Raw genomic sequence first — 20,473 nt, 5'->3', positions numbered from 1 at the left:
TTATTCCTAGCCTTCACAGCCAAATTCTACCAAATCTTTAAAGAACTAATACAAATCTTACTAAAAATTTTCCAAAAAGTCAAGGAGGAGATAACTCTTCCAAACTCATTTTTTGAGGCCGGCATTACACTGACACCAAAAACAAAGACATAGCATGTGAAGAAAACACAGGCCAACATCTCTGATGAACATAGATGCAAAAAAGAACTCAACAAAATACTAGGAAACTGAATTCCACAACACATTAAAAAGATTGTTTATCACGATCCAGTAGAATTCATTCTCCAGATGCTAATATGGTTCAACATACACAAATCAATAAATGTGATACATCACATCAACAGAATGAATAATAAATGTTATATGATCATTTTGATAGATGCCAAAAAGCACTTGATAAAATTCAACATCCCTTAATAATAATTTTTAAAAACTCTCAACAAACTGGGTACAGAAGAAACATTCCTCAACATAATAAAGACTATATACAATGAACCCACAGCTAGTAGCATACTGAACAGGGAAAAACTGAAAGCCTTTCCTCTAAGATCTGGGACAAGGCAAGAATACCCACTTTTACCACTTTTATTCAACATAGTATTGCAAGTCCTATCCAGAGCTCTAGGTAAGGAAATGAAATCAATGGCATCCATATTGAAAAGAAAGAAGTCAAATTATTCTCATTTGCAGATGTTTGCAGATTATATTCAGAAAAAAACTAAAGACTCAACCAAAAGTATTACAACTGATAAATTCAGTAAGGTTGCAGGATACAAATTAATGTACAATAATCAGTAGCATTTCCATATGTCAATAGCAAACAACCTGAGAAAGAAACCAAGAAAGTAATCCTATTTACAATAGCTATAAAAGCCATAGCAAAATACTATTTTAAAGAGTTGGACAAAATAAATCATTGAAGAAACAATAGTGAAACCAAGACTGAGTTTCTTCTGAATCAAATCAATGCCCTTGTATTTGAAAAATTATATTGATAAATAGGTCCTAAGGATTATTTAATAGAGTCTGATATGTTGGACTTTGAGATCTGAATAGATTAAAAATGCCCTTCATTTAAGCTCAAGAGATATACCACTAAGTTTCACCTAAATAGCCATGAATGTCTTTACCATGTAATTCATTGTCCAAATAGAGACACTTCTGTGGGAGAAAAGTGGCATCAATAATGCAAGGATAACAGGTATAAAACAATAATGTTCTTAGTAGACTGGGGAATATGGTCATTCTGGCATGAATCATAATAATATAAAGGCTATACTGTCCTTGAGCTTACCAGCACTGCTGTGGAGCACAACTTCAAGAAACAGCATGCCCGTATCACACTGTGCTCCAGCCAGCACCAGTCACATAGAAATGATTATGAATGACGCCCCTGGAATTGTTCAAACTGGTGATCCTGGTCCTTACTACGAGTTAGGCATTTTTCTAAAGGCTTAATTTCTAGTAACTAACTTACTATTCAGAAACTCTGAAATGCTTATTATTGCCATTTTACAGATGAAGAAACAGAGATATATTGACTGTACAACCTGCCCACAGTTACACCTCTAAAACTGGTGGAACAAGGATTTGAACCTAGAGAGTCTTGCATTCTAATCCTTGTTTTAATTGCCCACTGTCTTCCACTGTTTTATTTCATTTGTTCCATATACATTTTTTTTAATAATCAGGACAACACTTTAAGAGTATATAACTTTTAGGATGCATAATATTCCCAGAATTAATTCTATTCAAATAATTTCTGGTGCATTAATACGGAATATGCATGCAAAATGGTTACCAGTGACTTCGAAACATTTTACAAAGCATATGTTAAGTGACAGACTGTGTAAGTTAGACAGAGTTTTACCTCAGCAGTTTTATTCTGAATTAAAAATAAAATGAAGAAACCACATCTTTTTAGAATTGTGTTCAAGTATTTGAAATGAAAAGGAGGACTCGTGAAAAAAATTCATACCTTTTTCATTTCTGACATAGACACACAGCTGACAATGCTTTGAACTAGTATTCCTTTCCATATAATATAAATCTTCTCCCAGTAAAATACTTCTCTAAAGGAGAAATTCTAAATAGTCTCAGTTTTAAAAATCAGATCAAATGTGACTTAAATGTACACACAGTATTTCTGAGCCAACAACGATTGTATACCATGCTTAGTCTCAAACCAAAACTTAATTATGCAAATCATCCCCAGACAAAGCAGGTGCATAATAGGAGGACAACTATACTTGGGTGTGTGTAAGGATGAGGGAAGGGTGTTCAAAAACAGCAAGAGGAGAAAGGAAGCCAATGAATGTATGAAAGTTAAAATATTTAGCATGGGGACGGCTCTTTCATCTTTATTTAGCTGCTAGTTTTTCTACCTTGTCAGTCTAAATGTGAAATTGGTATTATAATTTGAATACTGAATATTGAAAATGTGTTTTATTATTTTTTATAAAAATAGACTTTAGAAAATCATTATACTATTATTTAGACACAAAGCATAAAAGTAAATTAAAATATCTTTGAATAAAATGTTTTATATAAGAGAACTTTGTGTGACAACTCAAGTTATTTAAGTAAAGTTTCTGTCCATCTCTATAATTAATGTTTCAATTTCTTCATTAAGACAGCAAGTGAATAGGGCTAAGTAGATTTTCTTCAAATCTGAGTATGTTGATAATGGTCTGGTTTAAGATATGGACTTAATGAAAGAGCAGAAAATCACTTAGACTCTGGGGGAGAATTTCCACACGGCCTCCACAGGAATTGGTAGCAGAGCTACTGGTTCTTAGAGCAGCCCCAGGGCTTTAGGAGCATCTCAAAGAAATGCACTGCAATCATTCTGAGTGAATCTGAGGGAAGTATGAAAAGAGAGGCCCATGAGATTACTGATTGGGCAATATATAAATCTTTATACCATGGATACAGTAAGAAGCAGTGGTGCCAAATATGAGCCCCAAATGGATTGGCCCAAGAGCCAATCAACACTTGGAACTAGCATAGTAGTTTGAAAATAAACTACTTCTTACTTGGGCATCACTGTGCAATGAGCTCTGAGTTGAACATCATAAAGATGGTTAAAATACTTCCCTAGGAATGCCAACAAAGCCACCTAGACTGCCCATAAATCTCTGCTGGAGAGCAGAGCTGCTTTCCATGTATACCAGGAGTATGAAGAAAATACGCCACTGATATGTGAAGGATATGAAACCTAGAAGCCCTTGTTCTATGTTATAGTAATATTTTCCTGATGTAATAATGTTGTGAAAAGTAAAATGTCTATTAGAGAAGTTTTCAAATGACAATGTACACACATACATAAGTATGTATGTACGTATGTGTGTGTGTATGCACATATACATGTGTAGAATGTGTGTGCGTTTGTATCTGAAAATAGAATGCTCGGAAGCATATTTCACCTAAACAGCCACTCAATTCAGTAACAGCTCTTTCTGACAAAATTGGAGTAATGTAACCACCATTAATATTTTTCAGTATTTTTAATGTGTTCTTTCATTGTTTGCAAAGCTTTCTGTGGCTTTTTGTGAAACCATAGGTAGAACTGTAAAAGGTAAAATTAAGTATTAGCATTCATGAAGGACTGTTCTTAGTGTTTATTAACCTATATGTTCTATGCAAAAAGACTACATATTGCATGATTCATTTACATGGCATGCCCATAACAGGCAAACCTTTTAGTGATAAACTAACTAAAATCACAAAATTTGTGATTCACTTTAAGTGTAAAAATTTTTATCCAGGTTGAGCAAACTTCTTTGTGAAATGAAGTTTTACTAAGCTAAATGTGAAATAATGACATTTAGAATAACTCTAATCTCACTAAGGAATTTAGCTTAGTTTTTTTCTTTAGACCTTTCTGTTTGACAATTCCATCTGAAGAAGAATAGGAAAAACATATTTTTAAAAAAGTTTTACATTGTTTCATCTCGTAGGTCATGTATGAATAGGATGAATCTCACTTCCAATTAACACAGTTAACTCAGTATTCATTAATAATATGAAATATATTTATACATGCATGTTCTATATACATCTATATTTATATATGCGTGTTTTGTATATATAGCTATAATGACTATGGCTATGTAATACTATAGCAATAGAACATGTAGCTACATGCTACTACCATCCTCGATGGTGTTTCTAAGAGACCTCTGTGGAAGGATGAAAGGTAATCACAGGCCAGGCGCGATGGCTCACGCCTGTAATCCCAGCACATTGGGAGGGCGAGGCGGGCAGATCACAAGGTCAGGAGACAGAGACCATCCTGCCTAACACGGTGAAACCTTGTCTCTACTAAAAATACAAAAAATTAGCCCGGGCTTGGTGGTGGGCGCCTGTAGTCCCAGTTACTCCTGAAGGTGAGGCAGGCAAATGGCGTGAACCCGGGAGGCGGAGCTTGCAGTGCGCCGAGATCATGCCACTGCACTCCAGCCTGGGCGACAGAGCGAGACCGCGTCTCAAAAAAAAAAAAAAAAAAAAGATAATCACAGGCTAATTAAGATGCAAAGACTAAAGATTATTCAAATGATAAATTTAAATTTTCTTCTTAAACATGACTATTCATACATATTTACAAAAAATGCTTTTTGAATGTATAATTATGTATGTGTACACACACATTTATTTATCTTTTTAACAGCTTTATTGACATATAATTCACCTACCATACACGTCTCACATTTAAGTGTGTAATTCAAAAGTATTTAGTATGTTCACATAGTTGTGAAATCACAATTAATTTTATAATATTTTTATTATCTAACCAAAAGCCCTATATTCATGATCATGTCCCCATCCCCAAACCACTTATACCCTCTTCAGCCCTAAGAAACTGCTAATTTACTTTCTGTCTCTATAAGATTTGTCTATCATAAAAATTTCATAGAAATGAAACACACAATATGTATTTTTTGTGACTTGATTCTGTAACTTGCATAGTATTTTCAAGTTTCCTCAATATTGATACCTGTATCAGTTCTTCATTCTGTTTTACTGCCAAATAACATTCCATTGTATGCATATACTACAATGTATTTATGCATTTATCAATGGATGAACATTTTGTTTGTTTCTGCTTTGGGGCTATTATGAATAATGCTGCTATGGACATTGAGGTACAATTTTTGTGTTGTATGTTTTCATTTATTTGGGGTATATACCTAGATGTGGAATTGTTGAGTCATATGGTAACTCTATGTTAAATATTTATGAGAGAAAGAGAGTAAGTGAATGTGTGTGTGTGTGTGTGTGTGTGTAAACAAGAGGAGCTATATATATATATATATATATATATATATATATATCCTGTTCAGATAGTTTATTTCGATTTTCAATGGGAGAGCAATAAAAAGAACTTTAAAAATAAATAAAACCATAACACCAGTGTTTAAAATTGGAAGCTAAAACTTCAATTTCAATACTCAGCCTAAGCTAAGATATACAATATATCTTATGTTCTCTCTAATTTCTGGGAGATATATAAATGATTGGGAGATACATAAATACATATTATTTTATATTATCTCCTCTCTAATTTCCAAATGTGTATATTTTGTTTTAATATATCTTAATGTGTTTCATCTTACATGCTAGATGCTAAACAATAATTTTATATAGAAGCTGCTCTTCATCTATCTTAGTATCACCAGCAATATTAATATGCCAGCTTTAAAGAACATCAGTATCACCTACTTGCCATGTTAATCACACAATACACACACATGCACACACAAATAAAATCATAAAAACCAAAAAATGCATTATTGGGTCACTCTATAGAAATTCTGATTCTGTAGGTCTGGAAAAGGGTCTAGGAATCTGTATTTGAATTATATTCCCCAAGTTATGCTGGCATGGTCAGTTTGTGTACTTCTTTTACATCATAAAGTGCGTTTTTTTTTTTCAGAATAAGCTTGTAGAAACAGTCAACAGCATTTCCAGTAGTCACTCGCATTTATATTCATTTTAGATACTATTTTTTTTTCACTTGATTCTTGGTTGAGTGAAAAGAAAACCAGGCTAGCTTGGGTGGTTGGTTATACTTTATATCACATCTTTGTAACTTTGGGGGTGACAAAGAAGTTTCACACTTTTCAGTACAGCTTTTCTTTATTTCAGGAACCTTGAGCTTTTGAAGAGCATAGTTAACCTCTTTCCTCATTAACGAATGGTTTTAAACAATCCTTATCTCTCCAGAAAGACTTGATTTACTCATTAACAGATGAGTGGATAAAGATAATGTGGTACATATACCCAATGGAGTAATATTCAGCCATAAAAAAGAATGAGATCCACACATTTGCAACAACATGGATGGAACTGTTTGTTTTTGAGACAGGGTCTCATTCTGTTGCTCTGGCTGGAGTGTAGTAGGACGATCCTGGCTCACTGCAGCCTGGACCTCTTGGAGTGAAGCGATCCTTCCACCTCAGTCACCCAAGTAGCTCGCACTATAGAAACATGCCACCATGCTCAGCTGATTTTTTTTAGTCGAGACAGGGTCTCACTATGTTGCCCAGGCTGTCTTGAACTTCTGAGCTCCAGCAGTCCTCCTGCCTCAGCCTCCCAGTGTTGAGATTACAGGCATGAGACACCGTGCCTTGCCAGCTATTGTATTTGGTACAATATATACTGTCTACATTTGTAGTCTAGGAGCAATAGGCTATACCATACTGCATAAGGGTATAGTAGGCTATACTATCTAGGTTTGTGTAAGTGCATTCTATGATGTTTGCAGAATTAAAAGTTGCCTAAGGACCCATTTCTTAGATGGTATCCACATCATTAAGCAATGCATGGCTAAAGTTGAAAACTGCTAAGAGCGTAGATTTTAAGTGTTTTCAGAACAAAAAAAAATTATGAGTGTGTGAGGTAATGCATATTTTCTTTACCTTATTTAGCCATTCCACAATATGTACGTATTTCAAAACATCATGTTGTACTTAAAATATATACAAGTTTTACTGTTCGATTAAAAAATACAATATATCTAGAAAACAAAAACAGCAACACTGCTTTTAAAACGATATGTAATGATCTCTTTGCATAAAGGAACATTTTAGGCTAAAATAAAATGCATGCTATACCATTTGCTATAAATAAAGCAATAGAATAAAATTTGTGTAAATACCTCTGTCTCAGAGAAAATATTTTATCAGTTTCTTCTGACTGCAGAATATATTATAAAAACATTTTCAGTAAATATTTTCCACAGAAGAATATGAGCAAATTTTGGGGGAATGAAAAAAAAAAAACATGATATTTAATTCTGAAAAATATGTTTCTTTTGCCTTTTACTCTCATTTTTAGGGGGTCACGTTAGTTCTAACTCAATAGCAGGCATCATTTATAAAAATGAGTTAACCAAATCCAGGTCTTCTTTCTCACCCACAAAACACATGACTTAAAAAAAATCAGGCTGGGCTGGAGGCGGTGTCTCACACTGGTAATCTTGGCACTTTGGGAGGCGAGGTGAGCGGATTTCCTGAGGTCAGGGGTTCAAGACTAGCCTGGCCAACATGGTGAAACCCCGTCTCTGCTAAAAATACAAAAATTTGCCAGCGTGGTGGTGTAATCCCAGCTACTCAGGAGGCTCAGGCAAGAGAATCGCTTAAACCTAGGAGGCAGAGGTTTCAGTGAGCTGAGATTGCGCCACTGCACTCCAGCCTGGGCTTCAGGAGCAAAGACTGTCTCAAAAACGACAACAACAAAAAGAAATCAGGCAGATTTTCTTCTGTGATTTAATTCTGTAACATCTCTAAGATATCCCATCATTTTGTATAAGATTTATAAGCCTAAGTTTTTGCAGGTTATCAAAGAACATTCAATGGCTTTGCAAAACAATGTATTTCACTAGGAATTTCCCATAATTATAGTTGGCACCTTCCTGTGTTGTGACAAATATCTTAGATAATATAATAGACAAAATTCCGGGATAATGTTGTCTCAGACAACACAGACCAATGTAGTTTAATATTGCCTGACAATATAATTTTCTCACTTGATTGACATTTCTTCTCCAGGAGTATTTTATGTCTTGATTCATTCTATGTACCCCTACCAAACCTTTGTAGCAGTATCATGTGATGCAAAGTGATAGTTTAAATTCTCTTTGATCTAAGTATGAATTAATGAATTTAGTTAGATTTTGCTTTTATTAATTTACCTCTTGAATTCAATCAGTCTCTAATGACCTGTCCCCTTGAGCACAAAACACTTGATAATTGCTTCCATATCTGATTTTTGATCCAGTTTTTAACAATTCCAAAATGAAAACAATGAAAAGCTTGTTTATCCTCTTTTCTCTCAATGATATAGTGGAGTCAAAGGGAAGAATACATGGGCTGAAGTAAGCTTTTTCATAACAAAATCTCCTGCATAGCAAATTCTTTGATGGTTCGGCGAGTGTTACTTTAGGAAAACATATAAATGCTGCTAGAGGCCACTGCTTTAACAGCACTTGGCTGGTCCTAAAGTAAACCCCTGGGGCTCCTTTATTGCTATGCCTTATTGCCTCAGCAAAATAATCTTAACTTCATTCTGCAAATAGCCTGTTTATTGAGACAATACATTGAATATTCATAAACTACATAGGAACCAAGCTATGACAATGGAAGTATGAGGATATTAAAAAGGGAGAATTGGCCTGGCGCGATAGCTCATGCCTGTAATCCCAGCACTTTGGGAGACCAAGACAGATGGATCGCTTGAGGTCAGCAGTTCAAGACCAGCCTGGCCGACATGGCAAAACACTGTCTCTACAAAAATTAGCTGGGTGTAGTGGCACACATCTGTAATCCCAGGTACTTGGGACGCTGAGGCAGGAGAATCGCTTGAACCCAGGAGGTGGAGGTTGCAGTGAGCCAAGATTGCACGATTGCACTCCAGCCTGAGTGACAGAGCCAGACTCCACCTCAAAAAAAAAAAAAAAAGGAGAATTTATTTAATTTGTAAATTTGTAATATCTACTGAAAATGCAGATCCTGAATCCCAATGCATGCCTTCCACAGCAGGAGAAATCAACTGACTCACAGATTAGATCCTATTGAATCATGAACACTCATATTCTTTCTAGATATTTGCTTATATGTAATTGAGATTTGGGCAATGATTACAGGGAGATATTGAAATAATAGCACATTGTACATGAAAATATAGTTGTACTTAGATGTTAAGCAGGATGATTTGTGAGCAAGCTACGGCAACGAGTAGAAAAGAACTGGCACCTAGAATGAGGATGAGGAAGTGGGGCTTGGAGGCAGGTCTGGACAGGAGCCTAGTAGTTTATAGCATCTGAGGATCATGACCAAGTTCCCTCAAAGTGAGTTTATAGCAGGGCAATATGAGATTTATGGCTTCCAAGAAAAAATGGAGTAGTGAAAAATCATATAAGAGCTCCGTCTGTGAAACACCACAAGTACTCAGTGGGATTCAGCAGAGCTCAATGCCTTTGATCTCTATGAAAACTAAGAGCACTTGAAAGAAAACAGGCCTAGCATGTAGCACTGGAATCTTCTCTTGATCATTCTCCCCCTACATGACTCTGACTTTCTCAAATATGTTTTCCATATTGTTTTCATTGGGACCTTTCCTTTTCTCTTTCCTTTAACCTTACCTTCTTTCCGCAAGTTAACATAGAATGTTACTTGGATGCATAAATGTGAAGACATAGATTCTTTAATTTTTAGTTCAAAAAAGAGTAATTATTTATATTTCTTGCTTTACTCTTCTCTTTTTTTTTCCTACAACCTCCTTATATATCATGAAAGCTCCATTTGGTATCTCAAAAGAATAATAAATTAGACATTATTTAGATTGAATCTCCACCCCCCAAACCTAGTTCTTTCCAGTATACTCTCTATTACTGAAGGAATAAGATTTGATACAGCCTATTTCCTATCTATTACAGTCACATTGGTTTTATGACGTAAACACCAATCCAGCCGGTCCACTTCTCTCCAGCTGAACCATCATGACTACCCCTACCATGGACCATTATAATTACCTATTAAATATGACTCTAATATTCTCCAATATGTTTTCACCATTTCCAGAGTTACCCTTTCTTCTTTCTTACCTTAAATCATTACTGGTCTCTTTATACATGTGCACATATATGCAATTTTACTTAAATGCATAAATATAGTATTAAAGGTGCTTTTGTTTTGTAGTGGAACCTTTATTTTCCTTTGCTGGTTTTGCTCAATTTTTCTTTTTCAGTCTTATCCCCTCTCCATATATATATCAAGCACTTATGTCCCCAGATAGCCCATGTTAGCAAACTGGTATGCATCACTTCATATTAGTCTCTAGATTCATATGACCATATATACAAACATGTACAGACACATATTATATATACACATAGGCATATGTAAGTTTTGTTGTCATTGTTTTCTAAGTTATGATCCTCTTATAAATATTTTTCTCACTAAAAACTTGTGTACATTTCTCTTTGGCATACTTTTGGATATACATTGGTAATGTTTGATGTTACATACTAGTTTTCTATTGCCGTATAACAAATCACCACAAACTTGGCAACTTAAAACAACATCCATGTATTAGCTTATAGTCTTATAGGTCAGAGGTCTGCACAGGCTTGACTCTTAAGGTCTCACAGGGTCAAAGTCAAGGGGTCAACTTTTAGCTGGAGGCTCTGTGAAAGTTTCCTAGCTCATTCAGTTGCTGGCTGAATGTATTTCCTTGTAGGACAGAGTTCTTCATTTTCTTGCTAGCTGTGGGCTGAGAACTAGTCTCTGTCCGCAGGGTAATTCTGTGTTCCTTCTCACATGGCCACCTCCATCTTCAAACCAGCTATAGCACGTGAAGTCCTTCTTGTGCTTAGAACCTCTCTGACTTCCTCTTTTGCCATCAGCCAGAAAAAGCTCCCTATTTTTTACAAATCATAGATTACATGAGACCTACCCAGATAATCACCCTAATTTTTTTCTTCCAAAAGGGATCACTTTTGTAAAAAGTAATTTCAACTTGTATTTTAGATTCAAAGATTCAGGGGTTACATGTTCAGGTTTCTTACATGGGCATATTGATGATGATGCTGAGGTTTGGGACATGATTGATCCCTTCACTCAGTACTGAGCATAGTACCAAATAGGTAATATTTCAACTCTTGCCCCACTCCCTCCATCTTCTAGTAGCCCCCAGTGTCTATTGTTGTCATGTTTATGTCCATGAGTACCCATTGTTTAGCTCCCACTTATAAGTAAGAAAATGTGATAGGAGGTTTTCTGTTCCTGCATTAATTCGCTTAGCATAATTGCCTCCCACTGCATTCATGCCACTTTGACAGACACGATTTTGTCCTTTTTCATAGCTATGTAGTATTCCATGGTGTATATGGACCACATTTTCTTTATCCAATTCACCATTGTTATGCAGCTAGGCTGATTCCACGTCTTTGCTATTGTGAATAGTGCTGTGATGAACATATGAGTGTATGTGTCTTTTGGGTAGAGTGATTTATTTTCTTTTGGATCTATACCCTGTAATGAAATTGCTGGGTCATATGGTAGTTCTGTTTTAAGTTCTTTGAGAAATGTCTAAGCTGCTTTCCACAATGGCTGAACTAATTTACATTCCCACCAATTGTGTGTAAGTGTTCCCTTACACAGGTGCAGCCTTGCCAACATCTATTGTGTTATGACTTTTTAATGATAGCCATTCTGACTGATGTGAGATGCTATCTCATTGTGGTTTTGATTTGCATTTCTCTGGCGATTCATGATTTTGAACATTTTATCATATGGTTATTGGCCACTTGGATGTCTTCTTTTGAGAAGTGTCTGTTTATATCTTTTGGCCATTTCTTAATGGGGTTATTTGGTTTGTTTGTTCAATTATTTAAGTTCTTTATATTAGACATTTTTCTGATGTGTAGTTTGCAAATATTTTCTCTTATTTTGTAAGTTGTCTGTTTACTCTGTCGATAGCTTCCATTCTATAGCCTGTCTTTTCACTCTGTTGATAGTGTCTTTTGCTGTGCAGAAGCTCTTTAGTTTAATTATGTCCTACTTGTCAATTTTTGTTTTTGTTGCAATTGCTTTTGATGACTTAGTCATAAATTCTTTTCCACAGCCAATGCCCAGAATGGTGTAGCCTAGGTTTTCTTCTAGGACTCTTATTGCTTGAGGTCTTCCATTTAAATCTTTAATTTAAATTAAAGTTAATTTTTGTATATGATAAAAAATAGAGGTCCAGTTTCATTCTTCTGTATATGCCTAGCCAGCTATCCCAGCACCATTTATTGAACAGGGAGTCCTTTCCCCATTGCTTATTTTTGTAAACTTTGTCAAAGGTCCTATGAATGTAGGTGTTCAGCTTTATTTCTGGACTCTCTATTCTGTTCCATTTGTCTATGTTTCTGTTTGTGTACCAGTAGATGCTGTCTTGGTTACTGTGGCTTTATAGTACAGTTTGAAACTGAATAATGTGATGCCTCCAGTTTTGTGATTTTTGCTTAGGATTGCTTTGGCTATGGGCTCTTTTTTGATTCCATATGAGTTTTAGAATAGTTTTTTCTAATTATGTGAAAAATGGCATTGGCAGCTTGATAGGAATAATAAATCTGTAAGTTGCTTTGGGCAGTATAGCCATTTTAACAGTATTGATTCCTCGAATCCATGAGCATGGAATGTTTTTTCATTGGGTTGTGTTATTTCTGATTTCTCTCAGTGGTGTTTTGGGGGTTTTTTTGTAGAGATCTTTCATCTCCTTTGTTGGGTGTATTCCTAGATATTTTATTTGTGTGTGTGTGTGTGTGTGTGTGGCTACTGTGAATGGAATTGCATTTTTGATTTGACTCTCAGCTTGAATATTATTGGTTTATAGAAATGCTACTGATTTTTATACATTGATTTTTATATCCTGAAACTTTTACCAGTTTATTTATCATTCATCATTTATCAGTTCCAGGAGCTTTTTGGTGGAATCTATAGGTTTTTCTAGGTATAGAATCATATTGTCAGTGAAGAGAGAGAGTTTGGCTTCCCCCTTTTCTATCTGGATTCATTTTGTTTCTTTCTGTTGCCTCATTGCTCTGGCAAGGACTTCCAGAACTATGTTGAATAGAAGTGGTGAAGGCAAACTTCCTTGTCTTGTTCTAGTACTCAAGGGGAATGCTTCCAGCTTTTGCTCATTATAATGATATTGGCTGTGGGTTTGTCATATATGACTCTTATTATTTTGAGATATGCTCCTTTACTGCCTAGTTTGTTGAGGGCTTTTATCATGAAGGGATACTGGATTTTATAGAGAGCTTTTCCCACATCTATTGAGATTATCATATCGTTTTTGTTTTTAATTATGTTTATATGGAATCACCCCATTTTAAGGTCAACAGAGCTATATAAAAAATGTAATCATGGGAGTAATATTTTATCATATTCACAGAGCAATTTTTAGAATTTTGTCTACCAAAGGGTATCACTATTTCTTTATGTTTTGTGGATGTGTAATATTTAATTGGAAGTGCCATAATATATCCAATCATTCCTCTATTGATGGATTTTCATTCCTTTCCCTCATTTAATCATGACAACACTTATACCCATCTTCCACCAAAACACTTTAGTAGCCACAAGGCCCTGTGTCCTCCTGCCCCTACCTCCCTCTCCATTCCCCTTGACTGTCAGTCGCATTCCTTTTTATTGTGTGCTTTCAGTCACAGTCCATCTTGTAGTCTTGTGAACTACACCATTCCCTTCTCACCACCAGAACTAGGTAAATGTTTTTCCAATGCCTGAAATGCATCATGCATATATACACACACGACACTCAAATTTGTTTTTATTAACCTTATGTCTTCTATCAGATCTAACTAAGATATCAATTCCCTAGATACATTTTCCTTGGATTTTCTAAGTAGGTCATTTATTCAGCAAAAAGCTCCCATACTTTCATGCATCCACCCCTTATAGTTATTAAATTTTCAAATTCATTTGTGTGGTTAAATGTTAATAACAGTCCCTTTAACTAGACCACAATTTCAATTGATGCAGGGCTCTTTTTTCCCTAGCTTTTTTGTTTTACATTTCTTACTACTATTTGAACCCCTGACATCTACCAGAGTATAAGTATATAAATGTATTCAACATATATTTGGTGAAAAAATAAAGAGATAAATTGATATAAATTACAATAAACATAGTAAAAAGACTAAAATATAAATAAGATATCAAATAAAATTATTTTAAAAGTAAATTAAAATTTGTAATAGGGCTGTAAGAATAAAATTAAAATATGTAGGCTTAAGATTCAACACTTTGCTACAGCTAAATGTGAATTTTATTTTGACACTTACTGATGGCAAAGAAAAAAAAAGGGAAACATGGAAGAAAACACAGGCATTCTTCAGAGAAAGCAACACTGTCTTTCCTTGCACTTAAATCTAAAAGACTGTATTCACCTGGGGCTTTGTATAGGATCATAATTTTCCTGAAACTTTTCTCAGCTCTCTTGAATTTTGGGACTAGCTTAATTTGAGTATAATAATAGTTGTTATCATTATAATTATTATAGTGAAACTTGTATAGCACTGAAACAGGAGAGTTCCCTGACCACCCCTTGCAGGATGAGTGACAGGGGTGTGGCTTGTCTGTTAGGCCATCATCTTGTAAGCTCAAACCCCTTACAGGAGGGGTAGCATGCAGATGGGCAGGTGCAGAAGCCAGAGCAAGTGCTTTCTGGGGGCTCTGGCCCCACGGTAGCATCTAAGGGTGGATGCCTCCGTCTCCTGAAGCCCAAGTGGGCGTGTGTTACAGTGCACTCTTTTAGCTTTGCCGTCCATGAATGGCTTAAGTATTAAACAGCTCAGTGGACCCTCTGCTTTTTCACAAGGGCAGAGGGCCAGCATGACAGCTTTCTGTATCCTGAGCTCTTGTCCAACATTCAAGAAAAATCAGTTCACACACGGACTTGAAGGATAGTGAACGTGGGGGTTTTACTGGGTGATGGAGGTGGCTCTCAGCAGGACGGAAGGGGAGGTGGAAAGAGGATGGAGTGTGAAGATGATCTTCCCCTAGAGTTTTGCCATCCAGTGGCCAATCTCCTCTCCAATCATCCCCAACTGAACCCCTCTCAACGTTCAGGTGCTCTTTCTCTTCCTTCCTTCTCTGCCACACCATTCTGCCACTCTTTTGCTCTCCTGTTCCTTTGCTTATCTGCTCGTGGAGCCTTGGGTTTGGGGTTTATATGATTACAGGATAGGGGAGTGTGGCAGGCAAAAAGGCAATATTTGCAAAAACAGAAATGCCTGTTCCCATTTAGTGCCACAGGTTTCCAGGCTTAAGGTGGGGCCCTGGCCAGTCCACCACCCTCTTCTACCCAGTATTTCCCCGTCTCCTGTCCATTTCAGCACCTACTGTATGCCAGGTACTTTTCAAATACTCCATTATTTCATTATTCTTCAAAACAAAGGTCTGTCAGGTAGGTGCAATTATTACCCCTTATTTTAACAAGGACTAAATTGAAGCATAGAGAGTTTAAGTAACTTGCCAACCAAGAGCGTACAGCTAAAAAGTGGCAGTGTGGTAACTATTTTTCTTGTCATGTAATGGAATCAAAACAATCATTGGTATTAGTAAAGAAAACAGTTATTACAGTTGAAAAATTCTTCAAAGGTTTAATAATCTATTTCCAAACTCCTCACTGCCCAAATATATTATACTAAATTATGTAACAAGCAGTTGAAGAGACTGGTCTACATTTTATTATTTTCTTTCATTTTTGTTCATCTACTCATTTCTTTTTGGAACAAAACAGTAAAAGAAAAAATGCAATAATGTACCAATGTTTATGTATTCTTAAGAGTCTTCTCTGAAAATCACAACCCATCTCTTTATAATCCAGACTAACAAAAAAGCACATCTGTAGCTATCACCAGCAGATACCTGTGGTCTGCTGTTCTGATCACCATCATGTGTAGCTATCACCCAACTCCCCTAATCATTACAATGGTGTTACATATTGATTAAAATAAGCAAATATGTTTGGTAGTATCATTGAATTTCTAAATTTTATATAAAACATTTAAATTAGAAATGAAGACATGTATTACCAAATTAAGAAATACACAAAGCAATTTACTCAATGGAAAATAAGAAACTCAATATGAAAGGAAGAAAAAGTTCAGCACGGCAAATGCTGCCCAGAAGACATCAGAAAGGAGACAAAATACCTAGGAAAATGTAGAAGATAAATTACAGCAATCAGATTAAATACCACTTTCGCAATATTATTTCATTTAATCCCCAGAACAGTTTTATAAGTAGCTGGTTTTATTCTCACTTTACAGATGAATATAATGAACACTAGAGGTTAGTTTACCAATGATAGGAGTATAGGCAATATCTGAACTCAGCTTCAATGCAGACTGATTCCATGGTCAATGCAGAATGATTATATTTAGGACAGAGGAGCCAAGATGGCCGAATAGGAACAGCTCCGGTCTACAGCTCCCAGCGTGAGCGACGCAGAAGACGGGTGATTTCTGCATTTCCATCTGTGGTACTGGATTCATCTCAGTAGGGAGTGCCAGACAGTGGGCGCAGGTCAGTGGGTGCATGCACTGTGCGCGAGCCGAAGCAGGGTGAGGCATTGCCTCACTCGGGAAGCGCAAGGGGTCAGGGAGCTCCCTTTCCTAGTCAAAGAAAGTGACAGACGGCACGTGGAAAATTGGGTCACTCCCACCCGAATACTGCGCTTCTCTGACAGGCTTAAAAAACGGCGCACCAGGAGATTTTATCCCGCACATGGCTCAGAGGGTCCTATGCCCACGGAGTCTCGCTGATTGCTAGCACAGCAGTCTGAGATCAAACTGCAAGGCGGCAGCGAGGCTGGGGGAGGGGCGCCCACCATCACTCAGGCTTGCTTAGGTAAACAAAGCAGCCAGGAAGCTCGAACTGGATGGAGCCCACCACAGCTCAAGGAGGCCTGCCTGCCTCTGTAGGCTCCACCTCTGGGGGCAGAGCACAGACAAACAAAAAGACAGCAGTAACCTCTGCAGACTTAAATGTCCCTGTCTGACAGCTTTGAAGAGAGCAGTGGTTCTCCCAGCACGCAGCTGGAGACCTGAGAATGGGCAGACAGCCTCCTCAAGTGGGTCCCTGACCCCTCACCCCCGAGCAGCCTAACTGGGAGGCACCCCCCAGCAGGAGCAGACTGACACCTCACATGGCCGGGTACTCCAACAGACCTGCAGCTGAGGGTCCTGTCTGTTAGAAGGAAAACTAACAAACAGAAAGGACATCCACACCAAAAACCCATCTGTACATCACCATCATCAAAGACCAAAAGTAGATAAAACCACAAAGATGGGGAAAAAACAGAGCAGAAAAACTGGAAACTCTAAAAAGCAGAGCGCCTCTCCTCCTCCAAAGGAACACAGTTCCTCACCAGCAATGGAACAAAGCTGGATGGAGAATGACTTTGATGAGCTGAGAGAAGAAGGCTTCAGATGATCAAATTACTCCGAGCTACGGGAGGACATTCAAACCAAAGGCAAAGAAGTTGATAACTTTGAAAAAAATTTAGAAGAATGTAAAACTAGAATAACCAATATAGAGAAGTGCTTAAAGGAGCTGATGGAGCTGAAAACCAAGGCTCGAGAACTACATGAAGAATGCAGAAGCCTCAGGAGCCAATGTGATCAACTGGAAGAAAGGGTATTAGCGATGGAAGATGAAATGAATGAAATGAAGTGAGAAGTGAAGTTTAGAGAAAAAAGAATAAAAAGAAATCAGCAAAGCCTCCAAGAAATATGGGACTATGTGAAAAGACCAAATCTACGTCTGATTGGTGTACCTGAAAGTGACGGGGAGAATGGAACCAAGTTGGAAAACACTCTGCAGGATATTATCCAGGAGAACTTCCCCAATCTAGCAAGACAGGCCAACATTAAGATTCAGGAAATACAGAGAACGACACAAAGATACCCCTCGAGAAGAGCAACACCAAGACACATAATTGTCAGATTCACCAAAGTTGAAATGAAGGAAAAAATGTTAAGGGCAGCCAGAGAGAAAGGTCGGGTTACCCTCCAAGGGAAGCCCATCAGACTAACAGCGGATCTCTCGGCAGAAACTCTACAAGCCAGAAGAGAGTGGGGGCCAATATTCAACATTCTTAAAGAAAGGAATTTTCAACCCAGAATTTCATATCCAGCCAAACTAAGCTTCATAAGTGAAGGAGAAATAAAATTCCTTTACAGACAAGCAAATGCTGAGAGATTTTGTCTCCACCAGGCCTGCCCTAAAAGAGCTCCTGAAGGAAGTGCTAACCATGGAAAGGAACAACCAGTACCAGCCGCTGCAAAATCATGCCAAAATGTAGAGACCATTGAGACTAGGAAGAAACTGCATCAACTAACGAGCAAAATAACCAGCTAACATCATAATGACAGGATCAAATTCACACATAACAATATTAACTTTAAATGTAAATGGACTAAATGCTCCAATTAAAAGACACAGACTGGCAAATTGGATAAAGAGTCAAGACCCATCAGTGTGCTGTATTCAGGAAACCCATCTCACGGGCAGAGACACACATAGGCTCAAAATAAAAGGATGGAGGAAGATCTACCAAGCAAATGGAAAACAAAAAAAGGCAGGGGTTGCAATCCTAGTCTCTGATAAAACAGACTTTAAACCAACAAATATAAAAAGAGACAAAGAAGGCCATTACTTAATGGTAAAGGGATCAATTCAACAAGAAGAGCTAACTATCCTAAATATATATGCACCCAATACAGGAGCAACCAGATTCATAAAGCAAGTCCTGAGTGACTTACCAAGAGACTTAGACTCCCACACATTAATAATGGGAGACTTTAACACCCCACTGTCAACATTAGACAGATCAACGAGACAGAAAGTCAACAAGGATACCCAGGAATTGAACTCAGCTCTGCACTAAGCAGACCTAATAGACATCTACAGAACTCTCCACCCCAAATCAACAGAATATACATTTTTTTCAGCACCACACCACACCTATTCCAAAATTGACCACATACTTGGAAGTAAAGCTCTCCTCAGCAAATGTAAAAGAACAAAAATTATAACAAACTATCTCTCAGACCACAGTGCAATCAAATTAGAACTCAGGATTAAGAATATCACTCAAAACCACTCAACTACATGGAAACTGAACAACCTGCTCCTGAATGACTACTGGGTACATAACAAAATGAAGGCAGAAATAAAGATGTTATTTGAAACCAAAGAGAACAAAGACACAACATACCAGAATCTCTGGGACCCATTCAAAGCAGTGTGTACAGGGAAATTTATAGCACTAAATGCCCACAAGAGAAAGCAGGAAAGATCCAAAATTGACACCCTAACATCACAATTAAAAGAACTAGAAAAGCAAGAGCAAACACATCCAAAAGCTAGCAGAAGGCAAGAAGTAACTAAAATCAGAGCAGAACTGAAGGAAATAGAGACAGAAAAAACACTTCAAAAAATTAACGAATCCAGGAGCTGGTTTTTTGAAAGGATCAACAAAATTGATAGACCTCTAGCAAGACTAATAAAGAAAAAAAGAGAAGAATCAAATAGACACAATAAAAAATGATAAAGGGGATATCACCACCAATCCCACAGAAATACAAACTACCATCAGAGAATACTACAAACACCTCTACGCAAATAAACTTGAAAATCTAGAAGAAATGGATAAATTCCTCAACACATACACTCTCCCAAGACTAAACCAGGAAGAACTTGAATCTCTGAATAGACCAATAAGAGGCTCTGAAATTGTGGCAATAATCAATAGCTTACCAACCAAAAAGAGTCCAGGACCAGATGCATTCACAGCCGAATTCTACCAGAGGTACAAGGAGGAACTGGTACCATTCCTTCTGAAACTATTCCAATCAATAGAAAAAGACGGAATCCTCCCTAACTCATTTTATGAGGACAGCATCATCCTGATACCAAAGCCAGGCAGAGACACAACCAAAAAAGAGAATTTTAGAACAATATCCTTGATGAACATTGATGCAAAAATCCTTAATAAAATACTGGCAAACTGAATCCAGCAGCACATCAAAAAGCTTATCCACCATGATCAAGTGGGCTTCATCCCTGGGATGCACAGCTGGTTCAATATGTGCAAATCAATAAATGTAATCCAGCATATAAACAGAGCCAAAGACAAAAACCACGATTATCTCAATAGATGCAGAAAAGGCCTTTGACAAATTTCAACAACCCCTCATGCTAAAAACTCTCAATAAATTAGGTATTGATGGGACGTATCTCAAAATAATAAGAGCTATCTATCTATGACAAACTCACAGCCAATATCATATGGAATGGGCAAAAACTGGAAGCATTCCCTTTGAAAACTGGCACAAGACAGGGATGCCCTCTCCCACCACTCCTATTCAACATAGTGTTGGAAGTTCTGGCCAGGG

At 37.1% G+C, this 20,473-nt stretch overlaps 2 long non-coding RNA genes across 7 annotated transcripts in view, besides 2 other annotated features; both read right to left on the bottom strand.

The window, feature by feature from the left end:
• Positions 1 to 20,473, bottom strand: part of LINC02718 (long intergenic non-protein coding RNA 2718) — a 376,384-nt gene that overhangs the window by 155,199 nt on the left and 200,712 nt on the right. The gene's annotated exons all lie outside the window — the stretch shown is intronic.
• Positions 1 to 20,473, bottom strand: part of LOC124902646 (uncharacterized) — a 187,361-nt gene that overhangs the window by 57,599 nt on the left and 109,289 nt on the right. The gene's annotated exons all lie outside the window — the stretch shown is intronic.
• Positions 16,322 to 16,822: an enhancer, noted in NCBI's record as "H3K4me1 hESC enhancer chr11:23055323-23055823 (GRCh37/hg19 assembly coordinates)". NCBI's record gives its function as "activates a minimal SCP1, AML or CMV promoter by ChIP-STARR-seq in primed H9 embryonic stem cells {active_cell/tissue: H9 hESC(primed)}" and the evidence as "EXISTENCE:reporter gene assay evidence [ECO:0000049][PMID:30033119]".
• Positions 16,823 to 17,323: an enhancer, noted in NCBI's record as "H3K4me1 hESC enhancer chr11:23054822-23055322 (GRCh37/hg19 assembly coordinates)". NCBI's record gives its function as "activates a minimal SCP1, AML or CMV promoter by ChIP-STARR-seq in primed H9 embryonic stem cells {active_cell/tissue: H9 hESC(primed)}" and the evidence as "EXISTENCE:reporter gene assay evidence [ECO:0000049][PMID:30033119]".

This window comes from Homo sapiens, chromosome 11 (genome assembly GCF_000001405.40).
Source record: "Homo sapiens chromosome 11, GRCh38.p14 Primary Assembly".
Classification (NCBI taxonomy): Eukaryota; Metazoa; Chordata; class Mammalia; order Primates; family Hominidae; genus Homo; species Homo sapiens.
The sequence above is the reverse complement of the archived record's forward strand: the minus strand, read 5'-3'. Positions and strand labels throughout refer to the sequence as shown.